The sequence below is a fragment of the Homo sapiens genome, chromosome 11, assembly GCF_000001405.40.
Source record: "Homo sapiens chromosome 11, GRCh38.p14 Primary Assembly".
In the NCBI taxonomy this organism is placed as follows: Eukaryota; Metazoa; Chordata; class Mammalia; order Primates; family Hominidae; genus Homo; species Homo sapiens.
The window spans coordinates 90,863,345-90,880,349 of record NC_000011.10 but is presented as its reverse complement, the minus strand read 5'-3'; the positions used below and the strand labels follow the sequence as shown (position 1 = coordinate 90,880,349).

Genomic DNA, 17,005 nt, shown 5'->3' with positions numbered 1-17,005 from the left:
AGTCATTCAGGAGCAGTTTGTTCAGTTTCCATGTAGTTGAGCGGTTTTGAGTGAGTTTCTTAATCCTGAGTTCTAGTTTGATTGCACTGTGGTCTGAGAGACAGTTTGTTATAATTTCTGTTCTTTTACATTTGCTGAGGAGTGCTTTACTTCCAACTATGTGGTCAGTTTTGGAATAAGTGCAATGTGGTGCTGAGAAGAATGTGTATTCTGCTGATTTGGGGTGGAGAGTTCTGAAGATGTCTATTAGGTCCGCTTGGTGCAGAGCTGAGTTCGATTCCTGGATATCCTTGTTAACTTTCTGTCTCGTTGATCTGTCTAATGTTGACAGTGGGGTGTTAAAGTCTCCCATTATTATTGTGTGGGAGTCTAAGTCTCTTTGTAGGTCTCTAAGGACTTGCTTTATGAACCTGGGTGCACCTGTATTGGGTGCATATATATTTAGGATAGTTAGCTCTTCTTGTTGAATTGATCCCTTTACCATTATGTAGTGGCCTTCTTTGTCTCTTATGATCTTTGTTGGTTTAAAGTCTGTTTTATCAGAGACTAGGATTGGAACCCCTGCCTTTTTTTGTTTTCCATTTGCTTGGTAGATCTTCCTCCATCCCTTTATTTTGAGACTTTGTATATCTCTGCATGTGAGATGGGTCTCCTGAATACAGCACACTGATGTGTCTTGACTCTTTATCCAATTTGCCAGTCCTGTCTTTTAATTGGAGCACTTAGCCCATTTACATTTAAGGTTAGCATTGTTATGTGTGAATTTGATCCTGTCATTATGATGTTAGCTGGTTATTTTGCTCGTTAGTTGATGCAGTTTCTTCCTAGCCTTGATGGTCTTTACAATTTGGCATGTATTTGCAGTGGCTGGTTCTGGTTGTTGCTTTCCATGTTTAGCGCTTCCTTCAGGAGCTCTTTTAGGGCAGGCCTGGTGGTGACAAAATCTCTCACCATTTGCTTGTCTGTAAAGGATTTTATTTCTCCTTCACTTATGAAGCTTAGTTTGGCTGGATATGAAATTCTGGGTTGAAAATTCTCTTCTTTAAGAATGTTGAATATTGGCCCCCACTCTCTTCTGGCTTGTAGAGTTTCTGCCGAAAGATCAGCTATTAGTCTGATGGGCTTCCCTTTGTGGGTAACCCGACCTTTCTCTCTGGCTGCCCTTAACATTTTTTCCTTCATTTCAACTTCGGTGAATCTGACAATTATGTGTCTTGGAGTTGCTCTTCTTGAGGAGTATCTTTGTGGCGCTCTCTGTATTTCCTGAATTTGAATGTTGGCCTGCCTTGCTAGATTGGGGAAATTCTCCTGGATAGTATCCTGCAGTCTTTTCCAACTTGGTTCCATTCTCCCTGTCACTTTCAGGTACACCAATGAGATATAGATTTGGATTTTTCACATAGTCCCATATTTCTTGGAGGCTTTGTTCGTTTCTTTTTATTCTTTTTTCTCTCAACTTCTCTTCTCACTTCATTTCATTCATTTGATCTTCCATCACTGATACCCTTTCTTCCAGTTGATCGAATCGGCTACTGAGGCTTGTGCATTCGTCACGTAATTCTCGTGCCTTGGTTTTCAGCTCCATCAGGTCCTTTAAGGACTTCTCTGCATTGGTTATTCTAGTTAGCCATTTGTCTAATTTTTTTTCTTGGGGACGTTTTAACACTCCAGATACTTTATTGGCTGGTAGAGATGGACATCCTAGGCAATTCCTTCAGTCCTTTCATTCAGATTTGTCTCTTTTTCTGCAGTTATATTTTTGCTTGACTTATAGCCTTTAAACTAAGTGTTCTTCCGGAGTAGGGATTATTTCTTATTCATATTTGTCATTGTTACTAGAATCCAATAGGTGCTCAACAAAGGCTTCTTGAATGGAAACGCTAATTCAGGGCTAAACTACTAGAGAGAATAAATAGGCCAAAGTAATCATTTACATCAATTTAAGTTGGCCGATTCAACAACATTTTAAAAACCACATATTATAGTAACTTATTCGTCGTTTGAATTTTTGTATCAGAATTTCTGTTTATCTATGTTATTTCTCCCAGGCCTGATTCAGAAGAGTAGTCTGTATGAGCTGTAACCATAGTAGAAGTAGAGTCTGGTTTCAGCAGAGTGTTTGCACCCCTCTGACTTGACTTTGCTTCTCCGTGAGAGGCAGACTAAGATTAAGTGCTGACAACCAAGGCATTAGTCTAGGAAGTGGTAGGGATATTACTGAGAAAGAGAGCAGGCCGATGGGGGAAGTAGCACAACTGATTGTTGACTGATGTCCTGAGATGAGAGCTATGGGCAACATAATCCAAGGAAATGTGGGTGATTCAACACTTCTCTTAGGCCGGGGAAATCAAGTTAGCACCAGTTGGTATCTTGCCAGACTGCTCAGTAGGGCCTTTAGAGCTTTGGGCACTTTATTTTGGCAAACAGGAAAGCTGTACATTTTCACTGAAAAGACAAATGAAGCTGGCACAGAATTGGTGACTTTGTCACTTCTCTATGGACACAGCAACCACCAAAAGACTCCTGCATAGCATGCACAAGGCTTCATCTCTTGGCCACTTCCAAACCTAAATATCATTTATTCCAAAGGGTCTTAATAACTTTATTGGTTCTGTAACTCTCTCTTGTGCTATGTGAGACTTTACCAACTGAGATTATAGTGCTTTATTAACTGGTTATGAATTTATTATTGAGAAATACCCTTACTCAACCTATATATAATTATTAATTGCTTTAAAATTGTATTTTCCAGCCAGCAAGATGCTTTTATATACAGTATTTAATTCTCACTGGGATAAGAATATTTTTAATTAATTTTTGTAAAAATATAAAATTTAAAGCTCTGATATGTTAAGCAATGTACTTAATGCATAATCTGCATAATACTTTGAGATAGTTTCCATGTTTATGATCTACAGAAGGACTTCTTTATCTTGTATATTTTAAAGTGACCTCCTACTTGCTCTATAATTATATATTTTATTTATTGAGTTCCAGTAATGCAATTGGTTCTTTACTTGTCATTCCTCACAATATTTATAACAAATCAATGAGGTAGGTGACAGGAAGTGGAAATCAGTTCCTAGGCTAGCTTGTTGCTGGTAAATTGTATCCACACAATATTTTGAAAAATAAGAAACACGATCTAAGCTGATTCCAGTGGGCTTGTTAACATACAATTTTAGGTCTTTCATAATCTGGCTCCAAGTTATCTTTGTAAATTCATCTTTAATTGTATCACTCTGTATACAATAGTCTGCTATCTCACTAATCTATTACCTCTCTCGGACACAGCCAATGACTTTCCAACCTCCTACCTTTGTCTTACTTCTCTTTCAATGTGCAATACTATGCTGCGTTTTCTATTATTTGAAGTCATACTTGAATATTGAGATCTTGCCTGAATGGCCTAAAAATCTGAGGAGAATATTGATGTATTCTTACTGTAAGATAACAACATGTGTTGCTTATTCCTATATTTTATTATTGTTAAGTTTCTACTACTGATATTGTCACCCATTCTGCTTCTATACTAGTAATTTCATGTTTTGTCCTTTAGAGCTTAACAATTTAACAGTGTTTAATTTTGAGGGTTTTTTTTTTTTGTTTGTTTTTTTTTTTTTTGAGATGGAGACTCGGTTTGTCACCCAGGCTGGAGTACAGTGGCGCGATCTTGGCTCACTGCAGTCTCAGCCTCCCAGGTTCCATCGATTATCCTGCCTCAGCCTCCTGGGTAGCTGGGATTACAGGTGCACACCACCATGCCTGGCAAATTTTTGTATTTTTGGTAAAGATGGGTTTCACCACGTTGCCCAGGCTGGTCTCGAACTCCTGACCTCAGGTGATCTGCCCGTCTCAGCCTCCCAAAACGCTGGGATTACAGGCATGAGCTACCATGCCAGGCCTCATTTTGATTTTTATAATACCCTTTGGAGAGAGAAAATATATTATTGTCCTAATTTTAGAAATATTAAAAACAAAGATTACAGAAGTTAAATGGCTGGCTCAAATTCATTACTTATGTGTATATACTCAGCCTTCTGTATCTGCAGGTTCTGCATCCACAGAGTCAACCAAGCACAGATTAAAAACATTTTATAAAAACATACAACAAATAATGGTACAAAAATAGAAATTATACAAATAAAATATGTTAGAACAACTGTTTGCATTTTATTTACATTGCATTAGGTATTATAAGTAATCTAGAGACAATTTAAACTATACAGGAGGATGTGTGCGAATTATATGTCGATGCTATATTATTTCATCATTTTATTTCAGGGACTTGAGCATACACAAAATTTGGTAACTATGGATTCTGGTGTCTGTGGAAATCCTGGAACTAAGCCCGTACGAATTCTGGGGGATGACTTTATATATGTATGCCCACACAGACAAACACACGAGAGATAGCCAAAAACAGAAGGGTCCTTTCTCTGTGCCACATATTTTGCTCAGCACTTTATCATGTATTGTCATGTTTGTACCATAACAGCATTTTGAATGATAGGCCACTAATATATCCACATATAGATGAGAAAAGTTAGGAACAGAGATGTTATCACACCAGAGTTTATTACAGTATAAGATAATAGAATCTGGATTTGAACCAAAGCAATCTGGCTCTGGATCTCTTATTCTTTTTCTTATATGATGATCATATTTTTACATCTCTCACTGTTTCTATGTTCTTAAATTCTGATAATGGAGCCTTCTTGCCACTTCCTCTTTGCCAATTATATACCATGAAAACTAGCCCAGAAATCTTGTTTCAAGTCTCTGGGTTTTTGTCTAGAAGTGTTATCCAAATCATCCTCCACTCTAGGACTGGAGCTTTTCCACTGAACTGTAAGCTCATATTGAGGTCATTATAGTTTGCTAAACTGCAGAGAGCTTTGGTTCAAATTAGAAAAAGAGAAAAAAAAGTTTTCTTATATAGGTGAATGTAGTAAAAGCACTCACTTGGTGTAATCCTAAAAATATTTTCCACCTAATATGTCTGCCTACTTTCAGATCACAAACACTCCTTAAAGCATCCTGCAGTGTATTAGAGTGTTCTCCAGATGCAGAGAGACATAGTGGGCAGATCCTAGATTTCAGTTGTCTAAGGCTTGAATCTTGTCATTATTATCTCTAGGATCTTGGGAGAAGTACTTCTGTTGGTCTGAACATATTTCATCACCTGATGTAGAGTCATTGGGGAGATTAGCAGTAATCCATTTAGAGTGACTCACGTAGTGCCTGGTTTATAGTGGGTTCCAATAAAAGGGTTTTTATTATTTCACTTGTTTTACTGATAATCTGATAGGTAGAACTTTAAAACTACTTTAGAATTCAAATCCAATCATACCAGTACTTAATTTAAAACATCTTAATAATTTTTAATCACTGAAATAGAATAAGGTTCATACTTTCTATTCTAGAATGTTTTAGAGTTCTTTAAAACTTGGTTCATAACTACTTATTCACCTTATTTCTTTTGATGCTCACTTAAACTTATTTTGTGCATTTTTTTCTCATTAACAATTTAAAGTTACCTTGTCATTATTTTCTTAAAGCACATATTAATATGTGAATTTGGTTTACTCGAGCTAGAATTTTGTTTTGAAACCTTGTCTATCTAGTGAACTCCTACATATCTTTAAAAATCTGTCTTAAATGATATCCCTTAGATGACCTTTGTATTAGCCACTCCACTCTACCCCATGCCCACTAGATGAAGTGAATCATACTAGAGGTAATGGATCTGCTCCCACATGGAACATACTGTTAAAATTAGTGTGTATGTGTATTGTGTGTGTGTATTACACACACACACTCCCAGAGCTCTACTCTGAGCTTCTTTAGGGCATGAATAATGTATCACTCATTTTACCCTCAGGCCTGGCATATAGTATGAACTGAACTTAAAAGTCTTGAATTACCCAAGGTTTAATAGGCAAAAGGTATTGCATCATGTTCTTCATCCTTAATTATCTTAAGCTAGTTTCCTGAGATGCTCTCTTTGAAAGAGTCTAAGACTAGATCCAGATTCATAGGAAAGGGCATTATTTTTATTTTTGTTTGTTTAATGCTAGGGGTTTAAATTTTAACATGGCTTTAGGAATTTTTTCCCCGCTTTTTTATTTATTTTGATACTGTCTATACACGAGTTTACTTTTTCTATGTCTTCTGAGGTCACTTCTAATAGATTTGACTTTTGACTTTAAATCCATTCCCTTTATGCTAGAAGGTGTTATTTACAGACTGCAAATATAGGCTGGCATGATTTCAAAGCCTGCATTTTATTTCAATAATTCAAATCGCTTATTACAACAAAATGCACTTAAAAGAGCAAGAACAGTGAAATCATTACCATAATCAATTTTACAACATTTTTATCATCCCCAAATGGAAACCCTGTACTCTTTATCTATCACTCCCCAAAGTCCCCCTTTCCCCCAGCCCTAGGCAACCACTCATATACTTTCTGTCCCTATAGATTTTCCTGTCCTGGACATTTCATATCAATAGAATAATATAATATGCAATATTTTGTGACTGGCTTCTTTCATTTAGCATGATGTTTTGAAGGTTCATCTGCATTGCAGCATGTATCAGTACTTCATTCTTATTTATGTCTGAATAATAGGTCATTGTAGATATGTGTTCATTTTTTAATTTTTGTAGGTACATAGTAGGTGTATATATTTATGAGGTACATAAGATATTTTGTCACAGGCATACAATCTATAATAATCACATCACTGTAAATGGGATATCCATCACCTCAAGTATTTATACATATTCTTTGTGTGAGAAACAATCCAATTATAATTATTTAGTTATTTATTTTTAAATGTACAATTATTGTTGACTATAGTCACCCTGTTGTGCTACCAAATACTAGGTTTTATTCATTCTATTCATTTTTGTACCCATTAACCACATTCCACCATTACACTTCCCATCCTCTTACAACCATCCCTCTAATCTCTATCTCCATGAGTTCAACTGTTTTAACTTTTAGCTCTCACAAATAAGTGAGAACATGTGATATTTGTCTTTCTGTGCCTGGCTTATTTCACTTAACATAATGACTTCCATTTCTATCCATGTTGTTGCAGATGAAAGGATCTCATTCTTTTATGGCTGAATAGCCATATTTCTCTATGCATTTATATGTTGATTGATACTTAGGTTACTGCTCAATCTTTGCTATTGTGAATAGTGTTTCAATAAACATGAGAGTGCAGATATATTTTTGATATACTGAATTTCTTTCCTTTTGGTATGTACATAGCAGTGGGACTGCTAAATCAGATGGTGATTCTACTTTTAGTTTTTGAAGAACATTCAAACTGTTCTATACAGTGGTTGTACTAATTTACATTCCCACCAATAGTGTATGAGGATTCCTTTTTCTCAACATCGTTGCCAGAATTTCTTATTGCCTTTTAGACAAGAGGCTTTTCCAAATATAACATCATACCATCTGCAAACAAAGATAATTTGACTTCTTCTCTTCCAAGTTGGATGCCCTTTATTTCTTTCGTCTGATTGCTCTAGCAAGGACTTCCAGTACTATGTTGAATAACAGTGTTGGAAGTGGACATCCTTGTCATGTTCCAGATTTCAGAAGAAAGGCTTTCAGGTTTTCCTCATTCCGTATGATACTAGCTGTGGCTCTGTCACACATGGCTTTTATTGCGTTATGTTCTTCCTATACCCAGTGTTTTAAGGGCTTTTATCATGCAAGGATGTTGAAATGTTTTCAAATGCTTTTTCAGCATCAGATGAAATGATATGATTTTTGTCCTTCATTCTGTTCATATGATGTGTCACATTGTTTGATTTGCATATATTGAACCATCCATGGATACCAGGAATAAATCCCACTTGGTCATACAAATGTTCTTTGTAATGTGTTGCTTAATTTGGCTTGCTAGTATTTTGTTGAGGATTTTTGTGTCCATGTTAATCAGGGATATTAGCCTGTAGTTTTCTTTGTCTGATGTGTCTTTGTCACATTTTAAAAATTCATTCATCAGTTGATGGAAATTTGAGTTGTTTCTGCCTTTTGTCTTTTATGAATAAAAGTGCTATGAATATTTGTGTACATGTTTTTACATAAACAATTACATTCATTTTTTTCTTCAGAATCTACTTAGGAGTAGAGTTGCTGGGTCCAATAGTAACTTGATGCTTAACTTTTTGAGCAACTTTCAGGCTGTTTTCCAAGGTGGCTGCACCATTTTACATTCTCTCTAGCTATGAAAGAAGATTCTTATTTTACCACATCTTCATTAACACTTGTTATTATCTGATATTTTATTACAGTTATCCTAGTGGGTATGAGGTGGTATCTTGCTGAACTTTTGATTTGCATTTCTCTGATGATAATGATTTTGAGCATCTTTCTATGTGCTTATTGTCCATTTGTATATTCTTTTTGAGGAAATGTCTAGCCAGGTCAATTTTTACTTAGGTTGTCTTTGTATTATTGAGTTGTAATAGTTGTTTTTGTATTCTACACAGAAGTCATATAATAGATATATGATTTGCAAATATTTTCTCTTTATTTTTCACTTTTTTAATGGTATCATTCGAAGCACAAAAACTGTTAATTTTATTGTAGTTCATTTTAGCTATTCTTTCTTTGTTGCTTATACCTTTGGTATCTCATCTAAGAAACCACCATCAAATGTGATTGTGAAAATTTTTCTCCATGCTTTCTTCTGAGATTATTTTTTGTTTTTTAGTTTTAACTCTTGCATTTAAGTCTTTGATTTATTCTGAGTCAATTATCATATATGGTGTGAGAAAGGAGTTCAAGTATTAATATTTAATTTATATTTAAAAAGTAAGTTCTGGTATATCCTTTTCCTTTGCCAGTCAAAGTCACAGGATGCATTCCAGCTATTAGACAAGGATACATATTGAAGAAGAAGTTTTAAAACATCAAAACTTTATTTTATTTATTCTTTTTACTTAGAAGTCAGTGTATTATGGAAAGGGACACATGTATTTGAAATCTATATAATCTGAATTAAAGCTGTAATTTCTATATAGCCTTTGTGATTGTAAAAAATAGAATACTTCTCTGAGCTAAAAATTTTATCTTTACAACAGAAATTATAATGAATATATTACACTGTTTTATTGAGGATTTAATGAGATACTTTCTGTCAAACAGCTAGTACAGTTCCTGGAAGTAAATGGAAACATCTTAAATATTAGTTTTTATATTCTACCTTCTTGTCTGCTGGCAGTATTTCCTATGCCACTTGCCTTAGATCTCTATTGGATTTGTTCTTCCGACATCTTTCCTGCATGCATTAATTTCACTGACTCCCTCCTCATACCCCTAACACACATAATGTGCTCAGTCTTGACAGTGTGGTTAAAATATGTGTAGAAATAACAGCAAAGACAACAAAAATGAGGAAGCAACAAACTTCTTAGAAAGGGAAGATCGAAATAAACTGCTTTGAGAATAGAAGTAGAGGCCTAAAGATATGGCTTGGAAAAAGAACTTAAGACAAAATAAAATACCAAGCTAAACTGTGCTGTTTTCATTTAATACACATGCAGGCATGCTTTGCAGATAGTGCAAGTTTATTCTAGACCACTGCGATAAAGCAAATGTCACAATAAAGTAAGTCACATATTTTTTATTTCTGGTTTTCTAGTGCATATAAAATAATTCCAATTGCAATACATCTAAAAAACAATGTACATACCTTTATTTTATTGCTAAAAATGCTAAAAACCAGCTAAGCCTTCAGAGAGTCATAGACTTTTTGCTGTAAGAGTCTTGCCTCGATATTGATGGCTGCTGACTGATCAGGGTGGTGGTTGCTGAAGGTTAGAATGGTTGTGGCAATTTCTGAAAATAGGAAAACAATTAAGTTTGTTGCATTGATTGACTCTTTCCTTCATGCATATTTCTCCAAAGCATACAATGCTATCTGGTAGAATTTCACAGTAAAACTTCTTTTGAAATTGGAGTCAATCCTTTCAAACCCTGCTGCTGCTTTTTCAACCAAGTGTATGTGATATTCTAAATATGTTGTCATTTCAACAGTGTTCATAGCATCTTTACCAGAAGTAGTTTCCATTTCAAGCAACTATGTTCTGTGTTCATTCATAAAAACAAACTCCACATCTGTTGAAGTTTTATCATGAAATTATAGATGTTCAGTTCCATCCTCAAGTTCCGCATCTAATTGTTCTCTTGCAATTTCTATTACATCTGCAATTACTTTCCCCACTGAAGTCTTCAATCGCTCAAAGGCATCCCTGAGAGTTGGAATTCACTTCACTTACACTTCCATTAATGTTGATATTTTGACCTTCTCCTTTGAATCATAAACATTCTTAATGCCATCTAGAATAATGAAGTATTTCCAGAGGGTATTCAATTTACTCTGCCCAGGTCCATCGGAGGAATTATATCAAAAATTATTTCTTGGATAATGAATTTGAAAGCTTAAATTACTCCTTGATCCTTGTGTTGCAGATTTAATGTTTTATTAGCAGGGATGAAAACGTACCTTGTGTATATCCCTATCAGAGCTTTTGGATGAGCACATGATTATCAATAAGCAGTAATCTTTTGAAAGGAATTTTTTCTAGTTTCTGGGGAACAGGCCTCAGCAGTGGGTTTAAAATGTTCAGTAAATCATTTTGTAAGCATACAAGTTACCATCTAGGTTTTGCTGTTCCATTGAGAACAGGCAGAGATAGTTTATTATGACTCTTAACGGCCCTAGGATTTTCAGAATAGTAAGGATTGGGTTCAACTTAAAGTCACCAATTGCATTATCCCCTAAAAATAGTCAGCTTGTCCTTTGGAACTTTGAAGCCAAGCACTGACTTGTCCTCTTTAGCTACAATCTTAGATGGTATCTTATTCAAATATAAGTCTGTTTTGTCTACATTGAAAATCAGTTGGAAAGTGTAGCCACCTTCATCATTTATCTTAGCTCTAGATACCTTACTACAGCTTTTCCATCAGCACTTGCTACTTCACCTTACACTTTTGTATTACAGAAAAAGCTTCTTTCCTTCAACCAAATGAACCAACCTCTGTTAGCTTCAAACTTTTCTGCTGCAGCTTCCTCACTTCTCTCAGCCTTCATAGAACTGAAGAACTAGAGACTTGCTATGGATAAGGCTTTGGCTTATGGGGATATTGTGGTTGATCTGTTCTATCCAGATGACTGAAACTTTCTCCATAGCAGCAGTGAGGCCATTTTGCTTTCTTCTCATTTGCGTGTTCACTGAAGTAACATTTTTAATTTTCTTCAAGAACTTTTTTTTTAACTTTCACAACTTGTCTATTAGGCCTCTCTTTCAGCTTACCTCAGCTTTCCACATGCCCTCTTCAGTAAGCTTTATCATTTCCAGCTTTTGATTTAAAGTGAGAGATGTGTGACTCTTCATTTCACTTGAACACTTAAAGGCCATTGAAGGGTTATTATTGGACTAATTTCAATATTGTTTTGTCTCAGGGAATAGAAAGACATGTGGAGAGGGAGAGAAATGCAGTAACAGCTGGTCTGTGGAGCAGTCAGAATACACACATTTGCCAATTAAGTTTCCCATCTCATATGGGCTAAGTTTGTAACCATTACAATAGTGACATTGATGATCATTGATTACAGATCACTGTAACAGACATAATAGTAATGAAAATGTTAGAAGTAATCACCAAAATGTGGCACAGAGAAATGAAGTGAGCACATGCTGTTGGAAAAATGGTGTCAATATACTTGCTTGATGCAGAATTGCCATGAACCTTCAATTTGTTAAACACACATACACACATACACACACAACATCTGCAGAGGGCCAAAAAGTGAAGTGCAATAAAATAAGTTATTCCTTTATTTTTTATATTAACATCTGCTTATTTAGTATTATTGTTTATCTGATTGAGGCATTTTCTTGTCCATTTATGGCATGCTTTAACTTATCCTGACAAATTCTGAAAATCATAAACAACTGTTTGGTATCAGAGAGATACATATTTTACTTGGAATAATAAAATTACTTGCCGCATGTGTATAATTTGAGAATTATTCTCTTAACTGTGAAAGATATGTATAAAGTAGAGCAAATCCAAGGCTATCTTTTTTAAGCTCTCAAAAAGTTAAAAAAAAAAGCACCAGGCAGTAAGTGTTTTGAGAACAGTAACGTACATTTGTCCTGCAAAAGACCAATTCATCTGCTTTAATAGAAATCCATTTAAAAAAAAGAGATCATTAAGTTGGAAAGTTAATATCCAATATATTTTTTGGCAATATACAAACTTATAATCATGATTTAGGTATCTAATTTTGACACTTGGACTTAAAAATTATAAATCGTATAAACTTCTAGTTGTTCTAGAAAACTTGCTTTGTTCTTATTTATAGAAATATAAAAATTGGCACACAGCAAAAATATAATATGAACATTTCAGTCAGAAAATAAAAAAGGTTTTAATTATCACATGTCTCCTGTCAAAAACACCACAGATGTTCATCTAAAAATGCATATTTTTAAATTAGAATTTTCTACAAATAAAAGTGATTCATCTTTTACACCAGGTCTTAGACAAATTGTGTCACTTCTTACATGATAATAAGCCACCATTTTAATTAGTAGTTGTCATTCACTCCAGCACACCAATCTCTAGAAGAGAGCAAGTAACATTTTGTACAGCTGCTCTCATGCTTTGCCTGTCATCTTTGTCCTGACTTTGAATTCCTCTCCCCAACATTTTCCTCTCCTTTACATAATCCCCCTCCTCATTTTCCTTACTCCCACTGAGCTGTCAAGAGTCAAAATACTGTGATATGAAATCATTGCCTCTATGACTCTAAAAAAGGTGAGCTTGCACTAGATTTTGATCAAAGGGAATCATTTATAAGATAGATGCAGCAAAAAACCTTGGGGAGTGTTTCCCCCCCACTACCCAAAGCATCAGTATTACGTGAAATAGAAAAGACAAAGAAACATATTTCTAAACACTTTTTTGCTCTTAATGACATGATTGATGTTCACTCTATATAATGTTTATTAGTTATTTTCACCTTGTTATTCAGTACCATCTCAGAAAGATGTCTCCTATGAACATATAACTCCAGTAAAAATGGGGAGAATGAAGGCTGTAAGAATTACAGCTCTCAGTTTTGTAAGCAAGAATGAATGGAGAATGAAAAAAAATCTATAACTATTTTGCAGAGGGAAGAAGAGCTTTGGAGGAGACTCTTAAGGTGCCATCATCAGGTGATAACAAAAATTGGGAAGATTTCTTGACTGTTTGCAATTCTCCTTGCCATCATTCTTACAAGGATGTATTTATGTTGTGCCACATCACATTGCAATCTTTGTCTCTACAGTAAAACCTAATTTTGCTAGTGTTTTGGTGAGAGAAGCAGGCCACAGTGCTTTAAGGGAGGCTGTTTGGTTACTGAATCCCACATAGTAGTCTTTGCTGGGATCTCTCAAGTGAGAACTTCCACAGTAAGGTTATAGCCCAATCAAGAGGTGATCCTACCTGTCTTCATGTTGGGTATCAAACATTAGAATTCTTACATCTCCTTTTCTTGGCAAAGATATAACAACCAGAGAAAGTGACACTACAAATCCATTTCTGAGAAAGTATGATAATAAGAATGAGTAATGGAAACATGGGCCATTTTTACCTCTGGTTTTGGGGTAACAGTCCTGATGCCTTCTTTAGATACAGAAGATGACATTTTAAAATTGTAAAGTGAAATAATGAACGTAATTTACATAAATGTACTCTGCACCCAGATTTAAAAATGATTATTTATATTCTGGTTTTGAAAATGTAGCCATTTCCTCAGTCTCTGGGCTTGTGTACAGGAAACGATATTCATTTATAATTTATTCATTTAATTTTTAGCTTTATAAAAGTGCACCCATTGCCATGGTCTCTGAGTGAATATAAAATACTAAACATATAACAACAAAGACAAAGTTAAGCAATAAAAGTAAATTGCAGAAATGTTATGGCTTTCAGATTGTGAAGTCAAGAGCCAAGATATTTTCAGATTAATAATATAAAGGCAATAAAATAAATTCCTACTTAGATGTTCACGTACACACTCATATATATATATATATATATATATATATATAGAGAGAGAGAGAGAGAGAGAGAGAGAGAGAGAGAGAGAGAGAATCTATGATGAAAGCAAAGAAAGGAGGTGGAGGTAAGTGACAGAAGACAAGATGATTAGTAGAATGAGGAGAGGAAAGTTAGAAGTTACAACATGTAGAATTGTCAGTTATCTAGGCTCTCTAAATAGGCCCTGTGGCTTTGTTTGTTAGTGTCAGTTTGTATGTGTTTATGCATAAGGAGGACCATTTTAAGAGGACTATTGGATATGTGCTGGGAAAAATAAAATCTGATTAAGGTGGGATGTTGACCATGGGGACAGAATTGGAGTGTAGGCTTTTTTCCAGAGACAACACAATACCAAAAGTCAGGGGTTGGGTGGGGGTTGGTGGGGACATCCAGGGTCAATTTGTAGGAAAATTCCAGTATTGGAGCATAGGACAAGGCAAGTAAATTGCAGAAAGTCCAATGACTCCAAATGAGAACAAAACAGAGTGAGGTACTATATTTTCTCACCAGTGTTTTCCCAAAAGCTAGCATATTCTCAATAATTATTTGTTAAATGAAAATGGAGGAACTGTGTAGGTTTGTAGCTTTTCATTATATACTGGAAAGTTCCTGATTTATAAAATATTCAAATAGTGTTAAAGTGCTAGGGACAAAGTATGCAAAGGCAAAGGTTTGAAAAAGTCATAGTTGAAAAAGTTAATTGGATTTTTAAAAACTTACTTATTTTTTATATTTTAAGTATGAGAGTGAAAGATGTATATGCATAAAGAAATGTCCCGAAAAATACAAAGTAGTAAATAGGATATATAGAGAGACTGTCCTCATAAGGAACATGGTGTGTGTGTGCACGCACGCGTGTATGTGTGTGCACGTGCATGTGTGTGTGTGTGTGTGTGTTTCTGTTTCCTTAAAGGAATGTGTTTCCTTAAAGTTTTACCCTTGACTAGTGTTGGTTCTGATGATATGTGTTATTTCTTTTCACATATTGCATTGTCTGCAAAGCCTTACATTTTGCTGATGAAAGTAGAGGGAGTTGGCGGTAGCATAGACACTGCAAAAAATGCCCTCAAAGCTCAGTAATTATTCTGAGGCAGATACAAGTGCCTGGCCTGAGAATAAGATCCAACTATAATAATGAGAATTAAGGCAAAGATGCCACAGGACAAAGACCAAATATGTTGCTGAGCTCACCCACTCTCTTCCCATGTACTGCCTTCCAGTAAGCCTTGGACCCTTTCCTCTTCCGAGGTCAAAAAAAAAAAAAAATGAATATATGTATTGAAAGAAAGATATAAATTTATTTTTTTTTCAGAATATCAAGGGTCCCCATATACAAATAAATTAAAAATATGTGTTCTATTGTCTGAAAGGACAGAAGAGAAAAATTCAGGCTAAAACTGTGGAATATGAATTTTATGTAAAATAGAAACGTAAATTTTCCAGTCATGAGGATTATTATATACTATGATGGTTTATCAAAGGAAATTACAGAATAGCTTCCCTTGGAGGCCTTTAAAATGATTTTTTTTTTCATTGAGCATTGACTCCACTCTTCAAAGACATTTTTGTGCATAAGGAGCTGGATTTAATGAAATAAACCAGCTTTGAAATAAACTGAAAAAAGTAAAATAAAAACTTACTTGTTCTACGTTAAAAAAAAAAAAAGGCCTGACATTGTTTTAATGATATGTTCTGCAAGTAATTTTAGAACATGTTATGTTACCCAGGGATCTAAGTAGAACTCTGTTCCAAAAACTAATACCGATGTTCACCATTTGTTGTCTACTTTACTTAGGTTTGTGGATCTTGTAAGTCTTGACTTTGGATTAATATACTGAATAAGTAATTAGAGACATGTATTTCTTTAGTGTTATATTTCTATTAATGCTTACAAAATGGGATTTATTCATATTACTGACACATTGGTGATGTAAATTTTTCTAGGATTATGCTCTTTCATTTAAATGCATGCATTTGAAATTTGAAATGGATATCTAAATTATTTTTATTTCCCCTTTAATATTAGAGCATTGCCTTTGTGCAGTTGTGAGTATGGGTTAGAGAGGAGACTTTGTGACCAGAAAACTAGGTTGACTTTCGATTTTCAGTCCCTTCTTGGAGACTACAATACTTTTTTCCAAAACTTGTTCTGGCTGACTTATTGATAAATTCCCATAACGATGCAGTTATTTAAATATGTATGGATACTACACATATAGACATAAAGATACTTGATTACCTGTGTACATATATAAACACATTTTATTTTATTTTAGACGGAGTCTGGCACTGTTGCCCAGGCCGGAGTGCAGTGTTGCAATCTAGGCTTACAGCAACTCTGCCTCCTGGGTTCACGCCATTCTCCTGCCTCATCCTCCCGACTCATCCTCCTGAGTAGCTGGGACTACAGGTGCCTGCCACCACGCCCGGCTAGTTTTTGTATTTTTAGTAGAGACAGGGTTTCACCATGTTAGCCAGGATGGTCTCGATCTCCTGACCTCGTGATCCACCCACCTCGGCCTCCCAAAGTGCTGGGATTACAGGTGTGAGCCATCGTGCCTGGCCACACATTTTTGAAATTATTTTTTCAATAAATTAGATAAAACATATCTATGATAAAAAAATCAGAATATTAGGAAGAAAATGAAGCTTCTTCACTTTAATGCAAGGCATCTATAAAAAATCTATAGCTAATATCATATAAAAAATCTATAGCTAATGTCATATTAAATGGAGAAATACTGAATTCTTTCCCACGCAGATCAGAAACAAGTCTCACGATTCTGGAGACAAGAAAGTCCACAATCAAGGTGCTGGCAGATCCGGTGACAGGTGGGTATCCTCTGTGTACTTTGTAGATGGCCATCTTCTGTTTGT

The 17,005-nt window shown here is 35.1% G+C and overlaps 1 long non-coding RNA gene and 1 other non-coding gene across 2 annotated transcripts in view; one reads left to right on the top strand and one right to left on the bottom strand.

Moving 5' to 3' along the window:
- DISC1FP1 (DISC1 fusion partner 1) overlaps nucleotides 1-17,005 on the bottom strand; it is a 663,821-nt gene that overhangs the window by 34,703 nt on the left and 612,113 nt on the right. The gene's annotated exons all lie outside the window — the stretch shown is intronic.
- Nucleotides 11,148-11,229, top strand: MIR1261 (microRNA 1261). The gene has a single exon (NR_031663.1). It is a non-coding gene; the product is annotated as a microRNA 1261 (primary transcript).